This window comes from Homo sapiens, chromosome 11 (genome assembly GCF_000001405.40).
Source record: "Homo sapiens chromosome 11, GRCh38.p14 Primary Assembly".
NCBI lineage: Eukaryota > Metazoa > Chordata > Mammalia > Primates > Hominidae > Homo > Homo sapiens.
Window position 1 is genome coordinate 111,907,549 of NC_000011.10, and position 27,667 is coordinate 111,935,215.

Genomic DNA, 27,667 nt, shown 5'->3' on the forward strand with positions numbered 1-27,667 from the left:
GTTTATCAAGTGAATCAGAAGTTTTGTCCAGACCCACAGAAATGAAATGGAGGGTTGTTTTTTGTTTTGGGGAGGATTTTTCTGTACAGTGGTATGTCTTTAAGCTAAATAATAGAACCACTTATTGATTGGCTATTAGTTGTAATTCTAAAACTTAACTATTACGTGGTAGGACATTGAATTGGATATTCCCTGGCCTTAGGTTAGTAGGTGTTTGCTAGATAATTTAGACCAGGGGTCCCCAACCCCCAGGCCATGGACTGGTACTGGCCCGTGGCCTATTAGGAACCAGGCTGCACAGTAGGAGGTGAGTGAAGCTGAACTCCACCTCCTGTCACATCAGTGGTGGCATTAGATTTTCATATGAGCATGAATCCTATTGTGAACTGCACATGTGAGAGATCTAGGTTATGTACTCCTTATGAGAATCTAATGCTTGAATCATCCTGAAACCATCTCCTGCTCCCCCGGGGCCATGGAAAAATTGTCTTCCACAAAACCAGTCCCTGGTGCCAAAAAGGTTGGGGGCCACTGATTTAGCCTATACCTCAGAGCTTGTTAGGTGATAATCACCCAAGTCCTGTTTATTGCCCTTGTAAATCAGCTTAAGGCAATGCTTATCAATAGGAAAATGTCAAACAGTATTAGGGTCACCATGTCTTCCCTGGTGATGTAATTAATTTTAGAGATGCAGTAAGGCCTTTTATGTAGCGTTATCCAGAGTTCATTCAGATGTGTTCCAGTCCTTTAAACTGAGAGCTAAAATCAAAGAGGGCAGAGAGAGAGTAACTAATATTCCTTGAACTCTGCCAGCGGCTTTTCCTGCTTCTTCTCCTTAATTTACTTCCTATAATTCCTCTGTACAACTCAGTAACCCATGTTATAAATGGAAAACCTGAAGACCAGAAAGGTTAAGCAACTTGCCTACATTTATACCAGTAGTAAATGGTGAAGTCAGTCATTCTGACTCTAAAATCCTTGGAGCCCTCTAAATCATAATGCAATCATAAATAGATCTGTGGTATCTGTATATTTATTTAAAAGTGTGTGGAATATTCAAACACAAGACAGTTATCTGTTGCTGAATGATATTTTATTAGCTTGATAATTTGGGCCTGCCCTTAGCATTAATAAGCTTCAGCACTAGTCACAAGACTTTCATTCACTGGTGGGGAAACTTTCTTGTTTTAAAAAATGCAATTCAAGAAAGGGCATCTATTTCTTGGGGGCTGCGGTGACAGCAGGCTTCTCTTCACGGGTGATGGGAATGGTGCGCTCAGGGCCAGAGACCTGTTTCCTTGGTCCATTCACAGTGAGGACCCCATCAGATGACAGGGATGAAGTAATGGTGAGAGGGTCTACATCAGCTGGGATCCGGTATTTCCTGTGGAACTCCCTGGAGATGAAACCATGTTCATCCTAACCCAAAAGAATGAGGAAAGAGGCAGAGAGATAAGAACAGGAACTATTATCACCTGCCCAGAACTCAGGCATCCTGATTTCCCCTTAGGTGAGACCAAATGCCATGACAACATAGGAAAAATAAATAGAGCTTCGTTTCAGGGTTGCAGCTAAGATGAAATTGCCTAGGTAGTCACTCCTACCAGTGAGAATCTGAGAAGTCTGAAACAGTCCAACACTTCATTGTTTTTCAAACCCTGAGGCATAGATATGTTTAGGGGTATTTCCCAAAGGTTTAGATCAATGTTGGCTGGGCCTACAGAATTTGGAATCTCATTTAGAATCTGAGTCCCTGAGGAAGCCCTGAAATTGTCCTGACTCTTCAGGAATGTCCCAGAAGGTTCCAGAACAATAGGACTGCTGCTGAAATTAAAAAAAAAAAAAAATGACTCCATCCAAGGAGACTATGACCCAAACCTAAATCATATAAGCAAAATTGAAACAGCCTGAGGACATTACTGAGGACAAACTGTACTGGTTGACGCACAGGTTCTGAGCTATCGTTAAATGGTGAGAAGCAATTTTAAAGCCCTCTTATAAAGTCATAACAAGCTGTTCCATTTGTCAGAACTCCCCCAAAGAGTAGATGACCTTAACCCGTATGCCTGCTGACTCTCAAGCATGTAGCCAAACAGGCTCTCGTTAACTGATTACCACATGGGCTGTAGGGGATTAAAGACTGAGCACAGCTCTGAAATTTAGACAAACCAAGTAGTTCAGCATTAAGATGGGCTAAAGAAGAGACACGGATTCTTGCACAGCTAAAAGAGAAGTCACAACTCAAGTGCTTTTAGGGTACCTGTAGTTAATGTAATTATGCAAAGCAACTAGGTGTCTGACAGCCCTATACCTAATCAGTGGTTCTCAACCTTGACTGTAGATTAGAATTACCTTAAAAATTGCTGATGCCTGGGTCCCACCCTTAAAAATGCTGATTTAATTGGTCTGGAGTAGTGCTCGCTTCGGCAGCACATATGCTAATTGGTCTGGAGTATGCCCGAGCATTAGGTTTTTTGAAAGTTCCCCTGGTGATTCTAATGTGGCCCAGATTCAGAACCACTGGCTTAAATGGGGCATCAGCATCCCATCATCCCATCTAAGGCGATCAAATCAAAGGCCACATCTCTGGCCATAATAGTAACAACAGCAATATGTCTATCCTAACTTAGTCTTCTAGACATTGATTTGTAACCCCTGATCCCGACTGTTATGGCTTGGGACTGGAATGTAGCCAGCCTCCAAAGCTGATAGCACTACCTGGACTATTACAGTATGCACTGAATGAATGAGCAGAAAACAAAAAAACAAGCTACATACCTGGCGCTCTTCATGTTTTCCATGCACCTCAATCACATCTCCCAACACCTTAACTTTGAGTTCCTCTGGGGAGAAGTGCTTCACATCCAGGTTGACAGAGAACCTGTCCTTCTCCAGGCGCATCTAGAAATAGCAAGGTAAGGGAATGGGATGGGAGAAAGAGGGCAAAAATACTGATTACACAGGTGCTGTCTTATTCTGCAGAGCTGCTTTCTGTCCGGGTAATTCATCCTTCTCTTCTCTGCTTAAAAAATCTCCTTTTTAAATAAACATAGCTGTCTGCTTCAGGGAGCCACCACAGTGATACCTAAGGCTCATGGTGATCAGACCCAAACTTTATTTACAGGGACAGAGAAGAAGACAGATCACCCAGGGGACCAGTCGCAAGGATGGGTGCAAGCCTGGCATCTGCTGCCTCTCTGACTCCAATGCCTGGCTTTGTGGTTTGTCTGTGAGACAAAGGCCTCTTCTTCTGGCTCAGGTCTCTTTGCCAGTTTTCCACCCACCCAATCTGGAATGTTCTGCTGGTCCTGCTTGTCCTTCCAAAGCCCTTGCCCACTCAGCTCCTGTTTACTCACACTTGAATATTTTTAAACCAGAGTGTTATCTGTGACAGCTCTGTCAACCTTATTTGTTCACCCTGTTCTTCCACCCTCTTAGGACAAATGGGCGTCCCTATATTGTTTCCTCGTAGGGCTTGATTGGACCCAGGCCAGCGCCCTGTCGTAGCCCTGAGAAACCCAGAAAATCATAGAAGAGGGAATAGAAAGGCAGAAAATACCCATGGGGATGAACAGCTCAGGATGAGGCAGGGCTCTCTCCTGGCTCTGAAACCTGAGATGGTAAAATCGGTCAAGAGTCCAAGGTGTTGGAAGAGATAAGCAAAGGAGTTTGAAGGCAGCTCTTTCCCTGCAGATTGTCATGAACCAAACCAGAAAGGGGTATCCTGTAGAGAAGTTAGGGGACGGAGGATAAACTTGACAGTGCATGAAAAAATGTAATAAATGGGATACAGAGGACTATCAAATAGAAACAGGTGATGGGGGAGGAAGGCACTAGCAACCTCCTCATTTTTCTTCACATTTGGACACACATGTGCCTAAAATGGTTTAGGCAGGGTAGGAAAGGAAAATGGATGGAGAAGTTTCCAGGAGGTTCCAGTAAGGACTCTCCCGTCCTAGCTGTGGGGAGACTCACCTCTGAGAGTCCAGTGTCAAACCAGCTGGGTGCCCGCAGGAAGGAGGGTGGCCGAAGGTAGAAGGGACTCAGGGAAGTAGACGTCGGGAAAAGATCAGACTCCAACAGGTGCTCTCCGAAGAACTGGTCAAAGAGGCGGCTGGGGGAGTGGAAAGGAAAGAAGGGGCGGCGGATCCAGGGGTGGTGGATGGCGATGTCCATGGTGGCTAGGTGAGTGTGAGGGGTCAGCTGGCTGGTCAGCTCCTTCAGCTGCAGCTACAGCCAGCCCCTTATATATGCAGTCTTGTGAAGCTTCTGGAATGGTGATGTCAGGGGTTTTATTATCCTAGCTCACCAGCAGTTCATGGAGACTTGTGATCCGGGATTTGGCAATGTGACACATACCCAGTACTCACTGAGCTAAGAAAAGAGAGACACAAACACGTCTGAGCCGGCCAGTGACTTGTCATGGTCTTGTTTCACTAGCTTTCTGTCCACACCCAATGGCACCCACCCCCACCCCTGTTCTCTGAAGCTGGTACAGAGTCAGGAATCCCAAGCAGGCACGCGGGGTGGGGGGAGGATGGGAGCCGGCGTAGTGTGCCCCTCCTCCTCCTTTCCAGTCCTGAATGCCAGGGGAATCAGGCCAGCAACTATCTTGGGCCTGGGCAGGGACTGGAATCTTCCTAGGCTGAGCCCCAGGGACATTAACTCTTTGTGAGTCCTTGGAAGAGAGCAGTGATGGTCAACATGTCAGCACCAGCCATCTGCCTCGTGCCCTGGGTTGACCTGGGTTTAGGAGAGGATCCCACATCTGGGCAGAAAGACCCCACCCCCTGAAAAAAGAGCAAACAGATTTCTTGCATCTTTCGTTCTATGTGGCTCTCAGAACATTAAATCCAGGAGTGCTTTAGGAATTGGGTGCACAGTGCCTGCCACCGAAGAGGAGAAAATGAGGTGTGGAAACGTGCAAACCGTTTGTGAGGGTCTCAGCGAGGCCTCTTCATGCCCCAGGCACCACCAGCTCCCCCTCCCCAGCTCGTTCCCAGCCAGGACCCTCAGCTGTCCTCTCAGGCCCCCTGCGACAGCTGAAGAGTGTGCGGGGGAGGGGACTAGGGGTCCGGGCGGCGCTGGTCACACCCTCGTTGCTCTCACTCAGGGCCCCCACTCCCAGCCCCTCCCCCCCCAAGAGGCTCGGCACTATTTTGGGTGGTGTCGACCCCGCCCCCACCTCCTATCGAGCCCTGGCTCTCCGGGCAGCTGGAGGGGTCGCGCTGCGCCTGTTGGGGCTGCACCTCGGACCAGGGCTTCTGCTGCATCTGCAGCCATGTCGGGCCGCTCAGTGCCACATGCCCACCCGGCCACCGCCGAGTACGAATTTGCCAACCCGAGCCGCCTGGGTGAGCAGCGCTTCGGAGAAGGTATGGCACAGACACCACCCCCTTGCCCCCCACCCCCACCCCCTGAAATTCTGGGCTGACCTCCCAACGTTGCTGGCCTCCACCCCACTCTGGGCTTAACTGATCTCCTGGGACCAGCCACCCCCCACCCCAGACTACCCCTCATCCCCTCCAAGCAGAGATCTTTCCCATTCCTGCTGACCTCAAGACACACTTGGTGCTTGCAGTGCTGATACCTGCTCTTTGCCGGCCTGGGTGTGCCTCCTTGTCCCCCTTCTATCCACCCAGGCCGTTTGGTGCCTCCTCCTCCTCCCCCTCCTCCTCCTTCTCCTCCTCCTCCTCCCTTTCCTTTCCGTTCTCTTTCCCCTCTTCCGAGCTGCCTTCTCCTCCTAGCTACAGTGTGGCCTCCCTCCCGTTCCCTACTCCTCCTGACTCCCCTCTTGCTCTTCCCAATCCCTCCTCTCCAGATTTCCCATTTCGCCCCTGTGCCAGCCTCATCCTCCCTCATCCTGCCTCTTGCCTTCTCTCTGCCCTTTAGGCCTCCTGCCAGAAGAGATCCTGACCCCCACACTCTACCATGGCTACTATGTCCGGCCTCGGGCCGCCCCAGCTGGGGAGGGCAGCAGGGCAGGGGCCTCCGAGCTTAGGCTCAGTGAGGGCAAGTTCCAGGCATTTCTGGATGTGAGCCACTTTACCCCAGACGAGGTGACTGTGAGGACTGTGGATAACCTGCTGGAGGTGTCTGCCCGGCACCCCCAGCGCCTGGACCGCCACGGCTTCGTGTCCCGAGAGTTCTGCCGCACCTATGTCCTGCCTGCTGATGTCGACCCCTGGCGAGTCCGAGCTGCTCTCTCCCATGATGGCATCTTAAACCTGGAAGCACCTCGGGGTGGCCGACATTTGGACACAGAGGTCAATGAGGTCTACATCTCCCTGCTCCCTGCGCCTCCTGATCCAGAGGAAGAGGAGGAGGCAGCCATAGTTGAGCCCTGATTGCCACAGACCCAGCACCCAGCAAATCCCTCTCTACCTCCCAAGGTGATATGGGCAGCTGCCCACCACTCCAGAGGTAGCAGCATCCTTGGGGGAAGGGAAAGGTGCATGGTCCACAATGTATGGTTTGGTCCCATGGGACATGTCATAGCCTTGGTTTAGTTTTGGGTGGAGCTGAATAAACCCAAATCTCAGGGCCTTGTTTGTACTGCTCCCTATTCTGTGGCCGGGAAGCTGGGATGGGGAGGGAGGGAGGAGGTCACAGCCAGCTAGACAAAAAGCTCCTCAGTTTGATGTGCCCAACGTCATAGGACCCTGAGCTCGCACTTGGATGCTGAGATCACACCCGGAAGCTGACTCTGGCTCCAGATCAAATTCCTAGCCATAATTTTCTCACAATGCAACAAAAGAGAGAGTGATCCTGGGAGGGAAAAGGGATATGCCATCCAAACAGCCCAGAGGGCACTGTCTGAGCTGGTGATTAGAGACACAAAAACAAGGGTCTCCAGACTGTCTGGCCCTTTTTGGGTAGGGGCTGGGAAAATGGTTTTTGGCTGGTGAGAGTTGCCTAAAGTCCTGGAGTGAATACTTTGTTTTCATGTACTAAGGTCTGTCCACTTAAATGGTCACTGATTTTGAGAGCCTGAGTATGCATACACAGGGCACAGACACAAAGCCTCTCCAATTATCACGGAACCCCATTACCTTCCCATCCTCTGGGGGTACGGTGTATTCAGGAAAGCCTGAGGTCTGTCCCCTCAGTTATTCTCTGCAATCAAGAGAACATCCAGCTACATGATTTGGGGGAAGTGTCCAAAAGACCTTCCTGCCTCCAAATACATATTTCATTAGGCTGTGGTAGATACCTACAATTCTTCCATTAAAGCAGTTGTTTCTTGGCTGGGTGCAGCAGCTCACACCTGTAATCCCAGTACTTTGGGAGGCCGAGGCAGGAGGATCACTTGAGCCCAAGAGTAAGAGACCAGCCTGGGCAATAGAGTGCAACCTTGTCTCTACAAAAAAATAAAAATTAGCCAGGCATGGTGGTGCATGCCTGTAGTCCCAGCTACTTGGGAGGCTGAGGTGGGAGGATGAGCTAGGGAGGTTGAAGCTGCAGTGAGCTGAGATTGCGCCACTGCACTCCAGCCTGGGTGACAGAGTGAGACCCTGCCTCAAAAAAATTAAATTGAATTGAATTAAATTAAGTGGTTGTTTCTTAACTTTTGGGAGTTATAGACCCTTCTGAAAATCTGACAAAAGCTATAGCTGCTCTTACCAGAAAAATACATATGCTCCCAAATTTGGCAATACAATTTGAATAGGTTCCCACAACTCTTAAGACCCATTCACATACCCCCCTTAGGGATCTGTGGACCTCCAGGATAACAGAACTCACTTGAGGAATTCGACTTTTGGTTAAAAGATTGCTGTCTATTAAAAATGAAAGCATGCCCCAGAGAAATAACATTTGACATATTTAACTGTTCATTCATTCATTCAGTAAATATTTATCAAACCTCATGTAATACACCTTGGGGGATATACATTGTAAATATAAATTATAAAAACTATTAGCTTTTATTGTCAACTTTCCAGAATCTAGTTGAGAAGAAAAATAATAAGAAAAGGATTCTACTTAGACTTCAACCAAAATAGCTTCACATTGATATGTTTTGTAACTGAGCTTTATTTAAAGGAAAGGGTTTCCTAGCTATAAGAAATTTGAAAACTTCTGATTTAGTCCAAATCCCCTCTCCATTCAAATGCTTTTAAAGTTATTAATCAACTTATTCGGGGACATTCTGAATAACAGACAACTTAGAACTTCTCACGGTAGTCGTTTCCATGTTCTTTCTTTTCTTTTTTAGACAGGGTCTTGTTCTGTTGCTCAGGATGGAGTGCAGTGGCATGATCATGGCTCACTGCAGCCTCAACCTCCCTTGCTCAAGCAATCCTCCTGCCTCAGCCTCCTGAGTAGCTGGGACTACAGGTGTGTGCCACCACGCCTGGCTAATTTTTTACTTTTTCTGGAGATGAGGTCTCGCCTTGTTGTCCAGGCTGGTCTTGAACTCCTGGACTCAAGCAATCCTCTATCCTTGGTCTGCCACAGTACTGGGATTACAGGTGTGAGCCTCTGTACCTGGCCTTCCATTTTCTTTTTGGTCTTAACTGACTTAACCGTTATAAATTCCTCCTTTTGTTGAATCAAAATCTGCATTTCAGTAACTTCTCTGGAAAACAAACACAATGGTTTTTTCACTGAAAATCCTTCTGATATTTAAAGATAACCATCCTGTCTTCCTGAGGCTTCCCTTTCCCAGCTAAACATGCCTAGTTCTTTTTTTTTTTTTTAAGACAAAGTCTCTCTCTGTCACCGAGGCTGGGTGTACAGTGGTGTCATCTCCCCTCACTGCAACCTCCTCCTCCTGGGCTCAAGCAATCCTCCCACCTCAACCTCCTGAGTAACTGAGGCTACAGGCATGCGCCACAACACCTGGCTAATTTTTTGTAGAGACTGGGTTTCGCCATGTTGTCCAGGCTAGTCTTGAACTTCTGGCCTCAAGCAATCTGCCCACCTCGGCCTCCCAACACATTGGGGTTACAGGCGTGAGCCACCACACCCAGCCATGCCTTGTTCTTTCAACCATATCATACAGCACTTTCCACATCACATATTACCCAGATAACTTTATTTTGAACATACTGCCTTTTGACAACGTAACTTGAAATTCAACATCTAGACCTAAAATTATTATTCCAGTCATGGATTGACTGGTACAGACTTCAGTGGAATAATCAATATCCTTGTTTATCACTTCAGGCTTCTATTAATGCTGCTTTAGGCATATGAGGTTTTCTGGCTACCACAATGGTCTATTCCTCTATTGATTTCTTTGGAGTTTCTGGTCATCTAAAAATCCCTTAGGTGATTTCCTTTCCTTTTCTTTTCTTTTCCTTTTTTTCTTTTCTTTTTTTTTTTAGAGACAGAGTCTCACTCTGTCACCCAGGCTGGAGTAAAGTGGTGTGATCACAGCTCACTGCACCCTCAAACTTTCTTGCTCAACCCTCCTACCTCAGCCTTCTGAGTAGCTGGGACTACAGGCACACATCACCACACCTGGCTAATTTTTCAGTTTTTATACTTTGTAGAGATGATGGGTTGTTGCTATATTGCCCAGGTTGATCTTGAACTCCTGGGCTCAAGCGATCCTCTTGCCTCAGTCTCCCAAAGCAGTGGGATTACAGGCATGAGCCAAGCCACTGTGTAAACCCAGCTGCTTAGGTGCTTTTTAAAACATTACAGAAGGGGTGACTAAAAAGGAACCAGATTATGGAGGGCTTGGAGTGCCAGGCTAAGCAGTTTGAACTGTATCCTGTAGGTGATAGGAAATCATTAATGGCTTTTGAACTGGGAGGAGAAGGAGTGGGTAACAAGATGAAAAGGATACAGTTAATGGTAGAGTAGAGTACAGAATGGATTGCATGGAAGAAGCATGGCCATGAAATAGTGCAATGATTGGGGCACAAGAAAAGAAAGTAAGATGTGGGAACCAGGCGTGGTGGGAGGGTCACTTCAGGCCAGAAGTTCAAGTCCAGCAGGGGCAACATAGCAAGACCCTATCTTGGCCAGGTGTGGTGCCTCACACCTGTAACCCCAGCACTTTGGGAGGCTGAGATGGGAGGATTGCTTGAGGCCAGGAGTTCGAGACCAGCCTGGTCCACATAACAAGACCCCCATCTCACATTAATTTAAAAAAAAAAAAAAAGACCTTGTCTCTAAAAAGATTTTTTTTTTTTTAATTAGCTAGGCACAGTGGTGTGAGCCTGTAGTCCCAGCTACTCGAGAGGCTGAGGGGGGAGAATCTTTTGAGCGTAGGAGTTTGAGGTTGCAGTGAGCTAGCCACTCAACTCCAGCCTGGGTGACAGATTGAGACCCTGTCTTTAAAAATAAAAGAAAGAAAGAAAATAAGATGCTTTGTAATAATAACAACAATGCCTAACTCTTACTGAGTGTGTCCCATGTGCCAGGCCCTGCACTAGAGCTTTATTTTTCACCACAATCCTGTAAGATTGTCACTCTTACCCATGTTTCATAAGAGGAGGAGTTCAAAGTCCAGGGTATTCTCTGTGGAGTGCAGAGCTGAGTGGTGGGCCCTGAACATCCACTTAAAGGACAATAACCAGGCATCCGAGGAAAACACTAAAAATGGGGTGAGAGAACTGAACACAAGAATGATGGGTTTCACAGATTCTCGTAGAGCCCATATTTTCTACTGGTGAGTGCGGGTGAGTCTAACTTTGGGTTACTGGAAGGAGACGCAGAGTTGAGGGGTAAGTGGAGAATCAGTAGTTCTGAACTGTGGATAAGGAAATGAGTGGTTAAGAAGTGCTGAGGCCATCCTGATCATAGAATCATCTGATTTTATACCAGAAAGGGGATTAGATTCAGTTTTTTTCATTTCACAGCCCTAGAAACTTAGGCCCTATAAAGGTTAAGTGATTTGCCCACATCGATTTCAAATAGCAAGGGAGAATATATGAGGAACCCATTTCCCCAAACTTAAGTTTCCAAGAGACTCCAGTATCCCAACCCAGATTCTGTACAAAAATAATAAGAAACTGGTACCAATTGCCTCGAAAGTGAAACTCAGTTAAACCTGAGTGGTGCTGAGCAAACTACTACATTAGGCACTCATCTATTATAGAGGATATATTTCAAAGACAGAGTGATGTAATGGAGAAGCATTTCGTAAGGAAACCAAGAGCCCTTTTCTATCTCAGGTTTCTTTTTATTGAAGCTTGAAGCTCAAGTTCATGGCTTCATCAAAAGACGCTTCAAATCCTGAAGTTGAGATAGCTCTCACCTGGAGCCCGTGTGTTGTTCTACCCTTTGGCTGGGAACACAGTCACCTGGGAATCATTCCAGCAGGTGGCTTCAAAAGTCCAACCTGCTAGGTTGAAATCTGACACTGACACAGACTCCGGGAGCTGCCGCGGAAAGCTCAACCAGGAACCCGGAAATGCACAAGCCTCTTGATGCATAAAAACAGCTGGGCTCCCTTGGAGACAGAGCGCCATGGGAAACCGGGTCTGCTGCGGAGGAAGCTGGTGAGTAGGCTGGAAGGGCAAAGGGGAACATCTATCTCTGTTGGTGGATGTAGAGGCCCCGAAAATCAGAGGACCTGGAGATAGTTGTCTGCCAGCCTCCCACTGCCACCTTCCTCTGCCTGGTACCTCCTTGTTCCAACACCAGAGCAGCACCTCCTTTCAGGAGGCCTTAGAAGACAGAGCCAAGTGGCTGGGCGCGGTGGCTCACGCCTCTACTCCCAGCACTTTGGGAGGCCGAGGCCGGCGGATCACGAGGTCAGTAGATCGAGACCATCCTAGCCAACATGGTGAAACCCCGTCTCTACTGAAAATACAAAAATTAGCTGGGCATGGTGGCGCGCACCTGTAGTCCCAGCTACTCGGGAGGCTGAGGCAGGAGAATCGCTTGAATCCGGAAGGCGGAGGTTGCAGTGAGCCGAGATCGCGCCACTGCACTCCAGCCTGGCAACAGAGCGAGACTGTCTCAACAACAACAACAACAAAAAAAAACAGAGCCAAGCTAGCTGTCTGCGGAATGGCCAGAGCAGGGCAGGAATATTGAACCGGCATTGTTTTTCTGTGCCCTCTTCCTCCCTTTCCCCTTCTTTCCCTTTCTTCCTGGATGAGAGTAATAATTGTAGCACTTGAGAGCTTTCTATGTGCCAGACATTTTACAGTCTCATTTAATTTTTCCAATACTTTATGAGGTAAATGGTTTTGCCCCTCCTCCTATTTTACAGTCAGCTGAGAAACTGAGGCTCAGAGAAATTAACTAACTTGCCTAAGGTCACATGGCTGGTAAGCAAGTAAACCAAGATTCCAACTGAGGCCCACCTGACTTCAGAGGCCACCTTTTGAACCACTGCATAATATTGCCTCTTAGATCAAGCAAGTCAACTTTGAAGCAATGTTTATTTAAAAGGGCAGAAGTGCCAGGCGTGGTGGCTCACGCCTGTAATCCCAGAACTTTGGGAGGCCGAGGCGGGTGGATCACGAGGTCAGGAGATCGAGACCATCCTGGCTAACACGGTGAAACCCCATCTCTACTGAAAATACAAAAAATTAGCCGGGCGTGGTGGTGGGTGCCTGTAGTCCCAGCTACTCGGGAGGCTGAGTCAGGAGAATCCCTTGAACCCAGGAGACGGAGCTTGCAGTGAGCCGAGATTGCACCACTGCACTCCACCCTGGGTGACAGAGCAAGACTCCGTCTCAAAAATAAAATAAAATAAAATAGAATAAAATAAAATAAAATAAATTAAAGGGCAGAAGTGGTCGGATGCAGTGACTCACACCTGTAATCCTAGCACTTTGGGAGGCTGAGGCAGGCAGATGACTTGAGGCCAGGAGTTCAAGACCAGCCTGGCCAACATGGCAAAACACCATCTCTACTAAAAATACAAAAAAATTAGCCAGGCATGGTGGCACACGCCTGTAATCTGAGCTACTTGAGAAGCTAAGGCACGAGAATCCCTTAAGCTTGGGAGACAGAGGTTGCAGTGAGCTGAGATTGCGCCACTGCAGTCCAGACTGGGCAACAGAGCGAGACTATGTCTTGAAAAAAAAAAAGAAAAGGAGTTTGAGACCAGCCTGGGCAACATAGGGTGGCCCCATCTCTACAAAAAAATTAAAAATTAGCTAGGCGTGGTGGTGCGTGCTTGTAATCCCAGGTACTTGGGAGGCTGAGGCAGGAGGATCACCTGAGCCCTGGGGGTAGAGGCTGCAGTGAACCATGATCACACCACTGCACTCCAGTGTGGGTGACAGAATGAGACCCTGTCTCAAAAATGAAAATAAAAATAAAAGGGCAGAAGTAGGAAAAAGAAGAATATCCATGGAATATCTGAATATGACTTTCACACTTATTTACTATGTGACCATAGGTAATAAGTCCCTTAATTTCTCTGTATCCATCCTCACATGTAAAATGTAGATAATACATCCTACATTGTGTAGATCACAGGCTTATTTTGAAGAGCAAAGGATATAGCGTATGTGAAAACCTCATAATAAATTATCTGTGGGGTTGTTACTATTCTTTCCCAGAATTTTCATCACTGCCATGCCGTAAATTCCTGGTCCTGGTTTTATTCTGTCTACTGCCTTCCATGCCTGGGGCAGATCTGGAAGATGTCATGTTATAAATAAAGCATCATTATATTTAGATAGACAAGTGAAGTGCATTGGAAAACACACAGGTTTTGGAGTAGTACATTGGATTCAAGTCCTGCCCTACTACTCATTCATTTATCCATTCATTTATTAAACAGTGTTTATTGAACATGTACTACAGGCACAGTGATAGACACAGAAGACATAGTAATAAAAGGACATTTGGTCCCTGCCTTGTTGAGTAAGAAATACCCTGAAGGTCCAACATTTGGTAACTGTCTAAATACATGGCATATCCAATTAATGGGAAATACGTAGCCACTTCATAAAGAATGTTGGAAGAACACCTAACATCATGGAAAATTTTACTCTTTATTAAGTTAGTAAAAAAGGCCCTTCATTAACCCGTCTGTAAAATGGGAACAAAAATATGTGTTTCCTGGAATGTCAGGATTGAAAAAATAAAGCACCCTTTAAACTCTGAGGTGCCCTATAGACATAGGACATCTAGAAGCACAGAAAAGCTTCTAGAGAAGGAGATGTAACAGCTTCTTTTATTCTCTTTCTTCCCAAGTGTTGGTATTCTTTTTTCATTACTGATTAGTTCTCTGATGGTGATAGTCATTAGTGGTCAACTTTTACTCATGCTTATTATATGCTAGGAACCATGCTAAGTATTTTACATTTCCTGTTTTATTTAATCCTTACAATAATCCCATGAGGTCTGAATTATATTATCATACTCATTTTTTTTTTTTGAAACAGAGTTTTGCTTTATCTCCCAGTATGGAGTGCAGTGGCACAATCTTGGCTCGCTGCAACCTTAGCCTCCCAGGTGTAAGCGATTCTCATGCCTCAGTCTCCCTAGTAGCTGGCATTACAGGTGCGTGCCACCACGCCCAGCTAATTTTTGTATTTTTAGCAGAGACGGGGTTTCACCTGTTGGCCAGGCTGGTCTTGAACTCCTGACCTCAAATGATCCACTCACCTTGGCTTCCCAAAGTGTTGGCATTACAGGCGTGAGCCACCGCACCTGGCCTATCATACCTCATTTTATTAATAAGAAAACAGAAGCCCAGAGAAGTTAAAAATTTGCTGAAGTTCTCACAGCTATTCTGACCTCATCAGTCTGACTCTAGAGCCCATTCTAGAGACACTATACCAAATAGTCTAACCAAAATCTTTTTTTCCTCTTCAAATACTAGTAGGATTGAATAAAACTTTGTTCTCTATTTTTTGTTATCTCAATAAACCTCCAGAGGCTTAAAGATATTATGGCAATTGAAGATATTTTTATTTTAAAATATTCTTTATTGTTATTGTTTCTGATTACAAAGGTAATAATCATTCATTGCAGAAAATTTAACTTCTGCAACGAGCAGAAAATAAAAAGCACCATAAATAAAGCACCCAGAGATGATGGGAACATTTTAGTGTATTTCCATATATTTTTTAAATGTGCACAGTTTTTATTCCAAAACATACCTTTTTACTAACTTAATAAAAAGTAAAATTTTCCATGATGTTCGGTGTTCTTCCAACATTCTTTATGAAGTGGCTACATATTTTCCATTAATTGCATATGCCATTTCTTTAGTCAGTTACCAAATCATGGACCTTCAGAGTATTTCCTATTTTTTGCAATTTAAATAATGTTATAATGAATATCCATATTTGTACATGTATAATTATTTCTTAGGATATGGAATTGCTACATCAGAGGGTATACACATTTATGTTTAAGGATTTTTATACTTATTGCCAATTGCATTCTAGGAGGATTGCACAGATTTTTATTTCTATTACCACTGTAGAAGAATGCCCACTTAGTTTCCTTAAATCTAAAAATAAAATCCCATCGCCTGTGTATCTAAATGAATACTCACTCCATTTGGGTTGTGTCCAGGCATTGCACAATATCTAACTTGAGAACAGGCTCTGTTCACTAACACTGGATAGCCCTAGTCTATGTATTTTAGGACTAATATTTTCTGTATCCATTTAAATAAAAATAAGTAGGTAAAGAGTAGTAACAAGTGGCAAAGAATTAGAAGATTATCTCGTTCTTAGGATAAGGCTGACTGAGCAGCAGTAACATAAAGCAAGAGCTGAAGTGGCAGAAGAAGTAGAAAAACACAGGAGTAGTTTTTCTTCTGAACCACCTGTAGAGTTTGGCTGGAGACTCAACTGCTGTCAACTGAGCAAGCTGTAGCAAAACCAAAAATCACATCAAAACAGAAACCTCTGTCAAATATGTGTGGAAAAATCCTGACTTTTTCCCCACAGTAGTCCTCATGATTTAGAAGTCAGTCTTCTCTCTCTCGCCCTCTCAAATTAGCAAAGAAGGAAACCTCCCAGGAGATGAGAGATCAGGCAGACAAACAGGGTTGGTTCTGGCAAGAGTTGGAAATGTACTAGCAAGAAAGCAAGAAAAAGAATCCGGAGTAAGCCCCAAACTATTTAGCCTATTTCCTCAGTCAGTGTTGTCTCTCTGGCATCAAACAGTTAACAATCACGTAGACACACGGGCGCCATTGGGGACCCCAGGGGCTCAGAAATAAATATAAGAGGTCTGCCCTACAGTGAGGGCAGGATAGCTGAGTCACTCACCAAATTCAGTGCTCCCTGTTCTGTAGACAAAGTTCTCTAAAGGATGTTAAAGGTTAAACATCTCTCACTTTCTCTGTTAATTAAAAACAAGGACAAGGAAGCAGGGAGGGAGGTCACTTGTTAAGAAAGGGCCTTGAGGGGCTGTAATTAGTTAGCCCTGGTTGTGGCAACTTCCATGACTCCCAGAATAAAAGTCCCAGATTGGTAAAGACCCCAGGAAAAAAAAAAGCACTGAAGAAGAGGCAAGAGGGTCTCTGGATCCAAGAATATTCCATCATTTGACAGATTTCCCTCACCCTCTGCTGGGATTAGCCTGTTAGACAATCCCAGAATAGCTCTCAAGCCAGATACATCCCTGGCATGTAGTGCCTGGTTGCCTGAGGCTGTATTTTGGGTCTGGTTATGTCAGTTGTACTACTCCACCTTCCAGAACCATCCATGTGGGAGAGGTGTGGTACCCTTGACTAATGTTTTGGGACTGAACCTGGCTCAGGGTGAATCTTTGTTAGAGGGAGGTAGGGGAAGCTCATCAGAATGTTAAGGAGACCACAGAGCAAATGATGATGGAGGGAAGGCAGAGGCCAGGGCTCTTGCACATGGGTGATCTGTTTTTCCTATTACAGGAGCTGCCCATCAACTTTCCAGAAGAAAAAGAAAACAGGTAACTTTGGGGCTGGGGGAGGGAATCTGGGGGAGGCAAATTAGAGAAGACAATAGAACTCCAATCTTTGGAAAGGGCAGAAGGGTAGAAAAGGAATGAAAGGATAAAGGGAGACAGCACACCAAAGAGAATCCAGGTTGCTGCATTCAAGACTAGTTCTGAACCTCTGGATCTTATCCTTTCCATTATTTCAGAGTGGCAGGGTTGGTTGTTCATTCTTTCATTCATCTAGCAAATATTTACTCAGCACTTACATTCTACGTCAGGACCTGTGTGGGTCCCAAGGAGGCAGAGAGGCACAAGAGGAAAGACACATGATCTCAGCCCTGGAAGAGCTGAAAATCAAATTTAAGAGATAAATTCATATAAACAAACAGTTGTAATATCATCACTGGTGCTGTAATAGATGTGTACTCATGCTGTGGGAGAATTGAGAGAAGACACTGATGTCGAAATGTCAAAGAAATAATAGCAAAGGGCCAGGCGTAGTGCCTCACGTCTGTAATCCCAGCACTTTGGGAGGCCAAGGTGGGGCGGATCACTTGAGATCAGGAGTTTGGGACCAGCCTGGTCAACATGGTGAAACCCCATCTCTACTAAAAAGAGAAAAACTAGCTGGGCATAGTGGTATGCGCCTGTAGTACCAGCTACTTGGGAGGCCAAGGCACGAGAATTGCTTGAACCCAGGAGATGGAGGTTGCAGTGAGTCGAGATCGCGCCACTGCACTCCAGCCTAGGCAAGAGTGAGACTCTGTCTCTAAATAAATAAATAAAAGCAAAGTTCACAAGTCAGCAGAGGAGGGAGAAGGTGTTTTAGGCAGATAAATCAGCTCATGAAAAAAAAAAAAAGAGACTGACCTGATTCAAAGTGGCTGATTGGTATAGCTGAGCACTTCCCACCTTGCATTGTAAGTGTGTTTACTTATTTTTATTTATTTGTCTCCCCTAGCAGGCTGTAAGCCCCCTGAGGTAGAGGAAACAGCTTACTCATCCTTCTACCCCCAGAACATGGCACAGAGCCTGGCACACAATGGGTTCTCTTGTTGAACTTGTTAGGGGCTAGTGAAAAATGAGGATGGAAGATATTATGGCCAGATTGTGAAAGGGCCAGATTGTAAACCCTGCTAAGGAGTTTGGATTTAGCACTAGTAGACATGAAAGAAGTGAGAATGGAGGCAGGGGGATTAGACAGAAGCCTGCCGTTAATAGTTTAATAGTGATTTGAAGAAGGCAATCTCAGTAGAGACAGGGAAGAGAGAATAAACTTAAGTTGGATTTCTTCCCCTCAGGAAGCCAAACAAGACGGACACTGAAGCCGCAGCCACAACAGCTGCAGCAGAATCTCCCAAAGGTAATGACAGGTCTCTGTCCCCTCTCTGGGGCTGCTCGGACATGGGATCCCAGTAGTCAGCTCTTTTGCACTGCAACAGACACATTTCAGTCACCTGTAGAATTTGCTGGCTCTGTCTGTCCTCCTCTGTCTGTCCTTTGCTCAAAGGAGCAAAGCGAAGGGACATCAGTTGACCTGCCCCTGCATTGGAGGTGAGGGGCAAAACCAAGCCATGAATCTCCCTTAATGCTATCCATTCCTCGCAGGGCCATGAAACAACAGGACATACGTATGAACGGGTGTTACAGCAGCAAGGGTCTCAAGAGAGGAGTCCAGGCCTCATGTCGGAAGACAGCAACTTACATTATGCTGACATTCAAGTGTGCAGCCGTCCCCATGCCCGGGAAGTGAAACACGTGCATTTAGAAAACGCTACAGAGTATGCGACCCTTCGCTTCCCCCAGGCCACACCTCGCTATGACAGCAAGAACGGGACCCTGGTGTGAGCGCTTGGGAGGAAGGCCCAGTCCATCGTTAACCACTACACCTGTGGGGGAGAACCTACTGCTTTGGGGAATTGGGTGGCAACCCAGGGATGTTGTCCACGTTTTAAGCTTAAAGAACTCCAAAGCCCCTGGAATTGTGGGCGTCCCATTTTCTCCCCTGGCCTCTTACTTGCCACTGTTAGGTTGGAGTTAATAGTTGGTTTAGCTATGGGTGGATAGCTAAACTTAGCTATCCACATGAGGTTAGGTGGAGTGTGCAGGGAGGTAGGTCTTCGACCCCACCATTGTTGCTCCTGCTCTTGCAAAGTGCAGAAAGAGCAGGTAAAAAGTTAGCCCATAAGCACGTGGGCTGATCTTGTTGGACTTTAATTAATGGTATCCTTTTTCACACACCTTAAACTCCAAAGCTGAAGGGGAGGTGCTCCGGAAAAGCATTCTGAGCTTTTACATTCAGACACTAGGGCTGGCTTGGGCCATTTCCTCAGTGGCTGAGTCAGGTTCCAGACCTTAACAGACAAATGGGGGAAGGGGGCTGAGGCGTGGAGGAAACGCTTTCAGGACCTCAAGTCAGTGATAACCGACAGCACAGTGAGGCCTGGAAACTTCCCTCGGAGGGACTGTTGGCTCTCGCAGGTGCGGGGCCGCTAGGATCAATAAACGGCCTGAGAAACATGCCTGGCGCGTTTTCTGGGGCGGGGCCCCGAAGCTCCTTGCGAGGACAGCGGATCCCGCCCAGTTTTAAGGGCGGTTCGAAAGTCCAGCCAGTAGACAGGCCTTCCGGCCCCACCCCCAGGCCGCGGCTGGAGGCGGAGCTGGAGGGGGGTGGGGTTTAGGAGAAAGGGGGCGGGCTACCATTGGCAGAGGGCGCAGTTCCTGGGGCGGTGTGTCCATGCCGTGATTGGTTGTTTGTCGGATGCTCCTGGTGAGGCGGATCCGGAACGGCAGTTGGGGGGGATCTGGGTCCAGGGGGCGCGGTCTGGGCCTGCAGGAGGCGGGATCCGGCGGGCCAGAGGCGGGACCAAGGCCGGCAGGGGCTGGCTCTGGCTGGCTGGAGTCGGGCGGGGCTTGTGGCCGGCCCCCGCATCACCATGGCAGCGGGAAACCGCGGCAAAGCCAGAGCACTGGCAGGCCGAGCTCAGGAGGGCTGGGGACAGAGATGCTGAACCAGACGGACCCATCATTTAAGAGGTAGGTGCTGAAAGGTGGCGAGTAACAAAAATATTACCCAAGTTGATCATCCACATCGAAACTGGGGACACGCGGAGGTGGCGAGGATGAAGTGGGTTAGAGGAGGCTAAAATTTCAAAGACCAAACCGCCCTCAGCCTTGTACATTCTTAGTGTGCAGTTTTCTGCTTCAGACTTTCAGAGCTTAGAGAGGAGGGGTAACGCACTCCCCTTTCTCGATCTGTTCTCCGTTCTCCCCAGATACCGCTGCCTCTCTGCTGGTCCCTAAGAGGGATGATTAAAGACTGGTAGAGTACTGAAAATGAAATTGTAGCACACGCACACACAAAAGTTGGCAATAATAGTATTGGCCGGGCGCGGTGGCTCACGCCTGTAATCCCAGCACTTTGGGAGGCTGAGGCGGGCGGATCACTGAGGTCTGGAGTTCGAGACCAGCCTGGCGAACATGGTGAAACCCCGTCTCTACTAAAAATACAAAAATTAGCCAGGCATGGTGGCACGGGCCTGTAATCCCAGCTACTCAGGAGACTGAGGCAGGAGAATCGATTGAACCCGGGAGGCGGAGGTTGCAGTGAGCCGAGATCTCGCCAAAGCACTCCAGCCTGGGGGACACAGCAAGACTCCATCTCAAAAAAAAAAAAAAAAAAAAAAATAGTATTAGCCCCATAAAGTGTGAGAATTTAAAGCACTTGCGACAAGTACATATTTTGTAGTCAAATGTTGGCTGCTATTATATCATTACCATTATCACTTTTTCCCGGCCCGTTGTCTGGCAAAGACTCAATGCAGGCAGATTCAGAAAAGGTGGGTTGGAGGACTGACCCCCACCACTAATTGGTGGAGAAACTCTGTAGCCTATTTTCTATATATTAAATGAAGGTGGCCGGGCGTGGTGGCTCACGCCTGTAATCCCAGCACTTTGGGAGGCTGAGTCGGGCAGATCACCTGAGGTCAGGAGTTCGAGACCACCCTGGCCAACAATGCGAAACCCTGTCTCTACTAAAAATACAAAAATTAATGGCCATACCACCCTGAACACGCCCGATCTCGTTTGATCTTGGAAGCTAAGCAGGGTCAGGCCGGGATAATACTGGCGAGGCGCGGTGGCTCATGCCTATAATCACAGCACTTTGGGAGGCCGAGGTGGGTGGATCACCTGAGGTCAGGAGCTCGAGACCAGCATGCCCAACATGGCGAAACCCCGTCTCTACTAAAAATAAAAAAAAATTAGCCGGGCGTGGTGGCCGGGGCCTGTAATCCCAGCTACTCTGGAGGCTGAGGCAGGAGAATCGCTTGAACCCGAGAGGCGAGGCTGCGGTGAGCTGAGATTGCGCCACTGCACTCCAGCCTGGGCAGCAAAGCGAGACTGCGTCTCAAAAAAGTGGGAAAAAAAAAAGGTAGAATCATTAACTCTGTTTTCAAAGATTATTTACTGCAAAGGTCAAATAAGATGATGTAGATGATAGTACTTCGTAAGCTTAAAGTGCTATATACAAATTTCTGTCTTTGGATTATACATGCCGGGCCATGCGCGGTGGCTCACGCCTGTAATCCTAGCACTTAGGAGGCCACCCGAGGTCAGGAGTTGAGACCAGCCTGGCCAACATGGTGAAACCCCATCTCTACTAAAAAAGTACCAAAAATTAGCTGGGCATGGTGGCACGTGCCTGTAGTTCCAGCTACTCGGGAGGCTGAGGCAGGAGAATCGCTTGAACCTGGGAGGCAGAGGTTGCTGTGAGCCGAGCTCGTGCCACCGCACTCCAGCCTGGGCGACAGAGCAAGATTCTGTCCCCCCAACAAAAAAAAGAATTACACATGTTGCCTCTCTGGGTTAAAACTCAGTTTCTGAGGATAGAAGGAAGTAAATGCCAGTAGCAGAGCTTCCAGTATTTCTCCTGATTATCTTCAGAATACTTCCTGTGGTCCTTGACTAATAAATATAGGAAGAAAGGAAAATGCATTGTTGCTTGACTAACGATAGGGGAGTATTACTCTTCACTTTATTAGTATTAATACCTAAGCAACTAGGTTTAAAAATGCCACTGGGTTAGCTGGGTGTGGTGGTGCACACCTGTGGTCCTGGATACTTGAGAGGCTGAGGTGGGAGGATCACTTGAACCCAGGAGTTAAAGGCTGCAGTGAGTTATGACAGTGCCAGTGCACTCCAGCCTGAGTGCCGGAGTGAGACCTTATCTCTAAAAAAAAAAAAAAAAAAAAAAGTAAATTTTAAAATGCCACTGGGATAGCCCTGTTGTGCTTGTAATATCTTCAGCTGGACTTCCTGCTAACTAGGGTCCTATTTCTGATACTTCAAGATGACTTAAGTTGGTAGGTTTTGGGGAGGGGTCTGGCCCCAACTCGGTTAGTTGAGCTTTAAATTTTTTTTTTCCTGGCTTGTTATTTTGTACATTTCTTATTCTTCCTGTTTTAGATGGCCCTGATTCGTCTCTTCTAGGGACTCTTGAAGATGGGGACCCAAGTGGTTATGAGATTCAATAACTCCTTGCTGCCAACAGAGCCTTCTGTAAGTTTTTGGTGTACTATTGTGAAAAGCGTGATGATGTTACTGGAATTTCAATACAGTTCTACTTCTGGGGATTTCTCCATCAGGACTCAGATCCTGGAACAGAATTTTAATATATTTGTCTTTTTTTTTGCTTTTCCTTCTTGTGGAAATTCTATTAATAGCTCTCTTGGACCTCGAGTCATCTTTTTCTGGAATTAATAAAATAAGGCAGAGGTTGAGAAATTCTAGCAATTAATCAGAATGTATGCGTTTTTAAAAGATTTAAAGTTTGTTATAGCAATAATGTATGTTAATTACAGAGCATTGGAAAAATATTGCAAACTATGATTTTAAAAAATGCAAACCGTAATTCTCCCACCCAGAAGCACACTGTTAATATTCTGGAAAATATTCTTGCAGTCACTATATATACATATATATATAGTGAGCAATCTCAGCTCACTGCAACCTCTGCCTCCCGGGTTCAAGCAATTCTCCTGCCCCAGCCTTCTGAGTAGCTGGGACTACAGGCACGTGCCATCACACCCAGCTAATTTTTTGTATTTTTAGTAGAGATGGGGTTTCACTGTGTTAGTAAATTTTTAACATGCGATCATATGCTGCACAAACTTTTTAACTTGCTTTGTTTCACTTAACGTTAACATAAAATTGTTAAAATGTTTGTTTTAATGTGGGCACGTTTGGTAAACATTATAATGGCTGTAATTTTCTTAACCACTTCTCTGTTGTTGGACTTTTAGGTTCGCTCACCCCTGCCCCCCACATTGTAAATAATTAATTTCCTTATTTAGGACTATGTCAGGCCAGGTGAGGTAGTGGCTTATGCCTGTAATCCCAGGACTTTGGGAGGCTGATGCCAGGATTGCTTGAGGCCAGGAGTTCAAGACCAGCCTGAGCAACATAGTGAGACCCTCCTTTCTTTCTTTCTTTCTTTCCTTTTTTTTTTTTTTTTTTTTTGAGATGGAGTTTCATTCTTATTGCCCAGGCTGGAGTTCAGTGGCACCATCTTGGCTCACTGCAACCTCCGCCTCCTGGGTTCAAGCGATTCTCCTGCCTCAGCCTCCCGAGCAGCTGGGATTACCGGTGCCCACCACCATGCCCAGCTAATTCCTGTATTTTTAGTAGAGATGGGGTTTTACCATGTTGATCAGGCTGGTCTCGAACTCCTGACCTCAAATGATCTACCTGCCTCGGCCTCCCAAAGTGCTGGGATTACAGGTGTGAGCCATCGTGACTGGCCGAGACCCCCCCTTTCTACAAAAAATTTAAAAATTTGCTGGGTGTGGTGGCATGTACCTGTAGTCCCAACTACTCAGGAGGCTGAATGAGGTGGGAGGATTGCTTGAGCCTGGGAGGTCGAGGCTGCAGTGAGCTGTGATTGTGCCTCTGCACTCTAGCCTGGGCAATAGAGTGAGACACTGTCTCAAAAAAAATTTTTTTAAAGACTGATGTCAGGCCAGGTGCGGTGGCTCACGCCTGTAATCCCAGCACTTTGGGAGGCTGAGGGGGGTGGATCACCTGAGGTCTGAGACCAGCCTGGCCAACATAGTGAAACCCCATCTTTACTAAAAAAACAAAAATTAGCTGGACGTGGTGGCGGACGCCTGTAATCCCAGCTGCTCGAGAGGCTGAGGCAGGAGAATCACTTGAACCCGGGAGGCAGAGGTTGCAGTCAGCTGAGATCGTGCCAATGCACTCCAGCCTGGGTGACAGATTGAGACTCCATCCCAAAATAAATAAATAAATAAATAATTAAAAAAAGACTACATCAAAGACTGTCAACATTTAAAATAATAAATTACCTCGTACAACAATTGTAGCGTCAGATTTTGTATACATCTTTCAGAAGGCAGCTGGACATCAGTTAGGAGTTAGGTCCTTGATAGAAATCAGGCTACCTGTTGCAATGAGACCTTGAATCTTGCAGAAAGATGATTTGATGTTAGTGTAATTACTGATGTGGAGCTCTGACACCTGATCAACTGATAGCCCAGAGGCATAGGGGTGCATTTTCAGTGCAGTCGTAGAGAAACTCAAGTGTCACTTCCAAAATATCCACCAGATGTCGCTAGTCTTAATATAATACTCACCCACAGGCTAGCTGGCAGATAACCTTTTTTTTTTTTTTTTTTTTTTGAGACAGAGTCTCACTCTGTTCCCAGGCTGGAGTGCAGTGGCACGATCTCAGCTCACTGCAACCTCTGCCTCCCGGGTTTGAGTGATTTTCCCACCTCAGCCTCCAGAGCAGCTGGGACTACAGGCGTAGGACACCACGCCTGGCTAATTTTTTTATTTTTTATTTTGGTAGAGATGGGGTTTCACCATGTTGGCCAGACTGGTCTCTCAACTCCTGACTTCAAGTGATCCTCCTGCCTCGGCCTCCCAAAGTGTTGGGATTACAGGCGTGAGCCACCACGCCTGGCCACTGGCAGATAACTTTTGAAATGTGAATTTTAAAACTTCATGTGAAAAAAGAAAAAAAATCCATAACCCAGGAATAGGTTAAAAAAATCATGTAGAAAATTAGCCGGGCGTGGTGGCGGACGCCTGTAGTCCCAGCTACTTGGGAGGCTGAGGCAGGAGAATGGCGTGAACCTGGGAGGTGGAGCTTGCAGTGAGCCGAGATCGCTCCACTGCACTCCAGCTTGGGCGACAGAAGCGAGACTCCGTCTCAAAAAAAAAAAAAAAAGAAAAAATCATGTAGAATATTTTCACATATCTGCTTTGGTGTGGTTTATATTAAGCACTAGCATCTGGTGATTACTTTGGCGACATCCTACTCTAGTCTTTCACCATTCTGTCTTTCTCCCTTCTTCTGCCCACTCAGTCTGTCACATTCATCATGTATACTCTTTCCTCACATACTAGTCATCGGATTCTCAGTTTTACTAGTCTTCCTTTTACTATTCTTCCCTCCAGTCTTGTTTCTTGCCCCATGTGTTATGTGTATATTTATGTGTAACTGTCAGTTATTCAAGTTTTTGCTAAAAGAATAAGACCTGGCATATAATGACTCATAAGAGGTGCTCAGTATCTATTTAATGGATGTTTAATGAAACAATGTATGAATGAATGAGAGGAAAATACAGGATACTAAAAATTATTTATATTTGGCTTGAGAATACAGTAAAAGAGATAAAGATTCACATTCCTAAATTACGTATAATTAAGTACTAAATGACACAGTATAGAACAAGCTAGACCATTTAGAGTTTTCTTTTGGTTTTTTTTTGAGACGGAGTTACGCTCTTGTTGCCCAGGCTGGTGTGCGATGGTGTGATCTCGGCTCACCTCAACCTCCACCTCCCAGGTTCAAGCGATTCTTCTGCCTCAGCCTCCAGATTAGCTGGGATTACAGGCATGCGCCACCATGCTCGGCTAATTCTGTATTTTTAGTAGGGAGGGGGTTTCTCCATGTTGGTCAGGCTGGTCTCGGACTCCTGACCTCAGGTGATCTGCCCGCCTTCCGCCTTGGCCTTCCAATATACTGGGATTACAGGCGTGAGCCACCGCTCCCGGACCTTTTCTCTTTTTTTGAGGCAGTGTCTCACTCTTGCCCAGGCTGAAGTGGAGTGGTGCAGTCACGGCTCACTGTAGCCTCAACCTCCCGGGCTCAAGCGATCCTCCCACCTCAGCCTCCTGAGTAGCTGGGACTATGGGCACATACCACCATGAGTGGCTAATTTTTGTATTTTTTTGTATTAATTTTGTAATTTTTTTGTGCCACTGCATTCTAGCTTGGGCAGCAGAGTGAGATGATCTTGTCTCTCTCTCTCTCAAAAAAAAAAAAAAAAAAAAGACATTATTCCAAGGGTCATTTAAAATATTTTTATTGACAATTGTAATTATTTGTTTATTCAAACTGCCTTTCTGTTTCTTTATAGTCATGAATTATTGGCCATAATAGTTGTGTTACATTTTATATAGATTTGAATTTCACACTTCTTATTTTTATGCAGAGAGAAGTCACAGGCAATATTTTCACCAAATGATGGTTTTATTTTAAGGCTCAAAGTCTTACTTAGGCTAACATCTTACTCTATTTATTAACAGACGTGATTAATGTTTCTCCCACTGGCTCATTCATTCCTTCAAGTAAAAATAGATTTACATTTTTGTAATGTAATCTTGCATTCTTATGTAATGTAATGTTGCATTCTTCATATGACAGTATTGCATAATGGTTAAGAACCTGGACTTTGGCTTCACCATTTAGTAGCTATTGGGTCTGTGACAAATTACTTCTCCAAACCTCTCTTTCTTTATATGTAAAAATCCTACTGTTTATGGTAATTGTGACAGTCAAATGAGCTAATACTAAGTGCTGAGTACAGGGTTTGGCACACAGTAAAAGCTCAATTTTGCTATTATTACTGTTATATATAGATATTTGGGTAGCTTTTAGTTTGTGGGGGAAATGTCTGCCATTATTGTCAAAATAATGCAGGACTGAGGAAGCCAGGTATAAGTTCAGAAATCAGGCAGCATGGCAGGGATATGCAGAAAGCAGTTTGCTGGGTTTCTTTGCCTCTGCTTCCAGGCAGAGTGAATGACAGCCCTGCAGCAGCAGAAGTGGTTCCAGCTACCCAGATGGCTTGCAGTTTTCCCACATACAAACACTATGGGATGCCTGATCATTGTCCCAGTTATTCCTAGTTCTTGTAGCTAGCCCTCATACTCTCCCAGCTCTTATGTTGATATTACAACATGGTGGGATCGGGAGGATGGAAGGAATACTAAATGTTAGTGTTGTTTGGAGCTAAAGCTCAGTTCTTCATCTGAGCCACTTTGTAAGGCCAACTAAGATAACTGTGGTGAACATCTCTTCTGAGCAAAAAAAAAAATGGACATTATATGGTCTGACAGGAATTTTGTGCTTTTTCCAAATGTGAGAGGCAGACTATGTAAAATAGTATAATTTTTGGAACACATCTTAATAGTCATATGGGAACAATAGAATGAATATTTTGAAATTGTACTATTTAAATCAAAATTAGATGCCATTAAAATTTTGGTTCCACAGTTGCATTAGCTGTAGTTCAAGTGCTCAGTAGCCACGTATGGCCACTATATTGTACAGCATAGATATAGAACATTTCCATCTTCACAGACAGTCCTAGTGAACACCATTGCTCTAGAATATGTGGTTTGTATAGTTATAGACTTTTAGGGAATAGTGCAATATTGGACCATATGCCTTATAATACATTTTAAAAAATCAATTCACTACAATTCTCTCTTAATTCCTCCAGCATGCTGTGATGGGCAGTGCAAAGAGCACAGGATCAGACCTCAGAGCCCT

At 45.8% G+C, this 27,667-nt stretch overlaps 4 protein-coding genes, 1 long non-coding RNA gene and 1 pseudogene across 13 annotated transcripts in view, besides 3 other annotated features; 5 read left to right on the forward strand and 1 right to left on the reverse strand.

Moving 5' to 3' along the window:
* Positions 1,016 to 16,192, reverse strand: CRYAB (crystallin alpha B). Of its 6 annotated transcripts, none has more exons than NM_001368245.1 (4): positions 16,155 to 16,192; positions 3,976 to 4,374; positions 2,779 to 2,901; positions 1,016 to 1,419 (listed from the first exon to the last, which is right to left on the reverse strand). In NM_001368245.1, the coding sequence occupies exons 2-4, from the start codon at positions 4,174 to 4,176 to the stop codon at positions 1,216 to 1,218; spliced, it is 528 nt and encodes a 175-aa protein (NP_001355174.1). In that variant the 5' UTR covers positions 4,177 to 4,374; positions 16,155 to 16,192; the 3' UTR covers positions 1,016 to 1,215. The 6 variants fall into 6 exon arrangements, with proteins under 6 accessions (NP_001355174.1, NP_001876.1, NP_001276737.1 ...); NM_001885.3 differs by lacking the exon at positions 16,155 to 16,192 and adding an exon at positions 5,557 to 5,613; NM_001289807.1 differs by lacking the exon at positions 16,155 to 16,192 and adding an exon at positions 5,591 to 5,665 and having other exon boundaries at positions 1,072 to 1,419.
* On the forward strand, positions 5,186 to 6,545 carry HSPB2 (heat shock protein family B (small) member 2). Its single transcript, NM_001541.4, has 2 exons — positions 5,186 to 5,375; positions 5,893 to 6,545. Exons 1-2 carry the CDS (start codon positions 5,282 to 5,284, stop codon positions 6,345 to 6,347), a joined length of 549 nt encoding a protein of 182 aa, NP_001532.1. The 5' UTR covers positions 5,186 to 5,281; the 3' UTR covers positions 6,348 to 6,545.
* HSPB2-C11orf52 (HSPB2-C11orf52 readthrough (NMD candidate)) lies at positions 5,188 to 19,323 on the forward strand. Its single transcript, NR_037651.1, has 5 exons — positions 5,188 to 5,375; positions 11,130 to 11,456; positions 16,778 to 16,815; positions 18,105 to 18,166; positions 18,412 to 19,323. It is a non-coding gene; the product is annotated as an HSPB2-C11orf52 readthrough (NMD candidate) (long non-coding RNA).
* Positions 5,937 to 6,590: an enhancer, noted in NCBI's record as "H3K4me1 hESC enhancer chr11:111784209-111784862 (GRCh37/hg19 assembly coordinates)". NCBI's record gives its function as "activates a minimal SCP1, AML or CMV promoter by ChIP-STARR-seq in primed H9 embryonic stem cells {active_cell/tissue: H9 hESC(primed)}" and the evidence as "EXISTENCE:reporter gene assay evidence [ECO:0000049][PMID:30033119]".
* Positions 11,197 to 11,491: an enhancer, noted in NCBI's record as "tiled region #8432; HepG2 Activating DNase unmatched - State 1:Tss, and K562 Activating non-DNase unmatched - State 2:TssF". NCBI's record gives its function as "activates a minimal TATA promoter and a strong SV40 promoter by Sharpr-MPRA in HepG2 and K562 cells {active_cell/tissue: HepG2 | K562}" and the evidence as "EXISTENCE:reporter gene assay evidence [ECO:0000049][PMID:27701403]".
* Positions 11,365 to 19,323, forward strand: C11orf52 (chromosome 11 open reading frame 52). The gene is made up of 4 exons (NM_080659.3): positions 11,365 to 11,456; positions 16,778 to 16,815; positions 18,105 to 18,166; positions 18,412 to 19,323. The coding sequence occupies exons 1-4, from the start codon at positions 11,425 to 11,427 to the stop codon at positions 18,649 to 18,651; spliced, it is 372 nt and encodes a 123-aa protein (NP_542390.2). The 5' UTR covers positions 11,365 to 11,424; the 3' UTR covers positions 18,652 to 19,323.
* Positions 19,550 to 19,789: a silencer, noted in NCBI's record as "silent region_3903". NCBI's record gives its function as "represses an Ori minimal core promoter by ATAC-STARR-seq in GM12878 lymphoblastoid cells {active_cell/tissue: GM12878}" and the evidence as "EXISTENCE:reporter gene assay evidence [ECO:0000049][PMID:35858748]".
* Positions 19,767 to 27,667, forward strand: part of DIXDC1 (DIX domain containing 1) — a 95,339-nt gene continuing 87,438 nt past the window's right edge. For 3 of the 4 annotated variants that reach the window (XM_017018466.3, XM_024448743.2, NM_001278542.2), the window contains exons 1-2: positions 19,767 to 19,839; positions 22,270 to 22,362. In XM_017018466.3, the coding sequence (XP_016873955.1) occupies positions 22,306 to 22,362 (57 nt within the window). In that variant the 5' untranslated portion in view covers positions 19,767 to 19,839; positions 22,270 to 22,305. The remainder of the gene's footprint in view (positions 19,840 to 22,269; positions 22,363 to 27,667) is intronic. The other variant, XM_017018467.2, reaches the window with a different exon arrangement.
* On the forward strand, positions 20,852 to 20,960 carry RNA5SP351 (RNA, 5S ribosomal pseudogene 351; annotated as a pseudogene).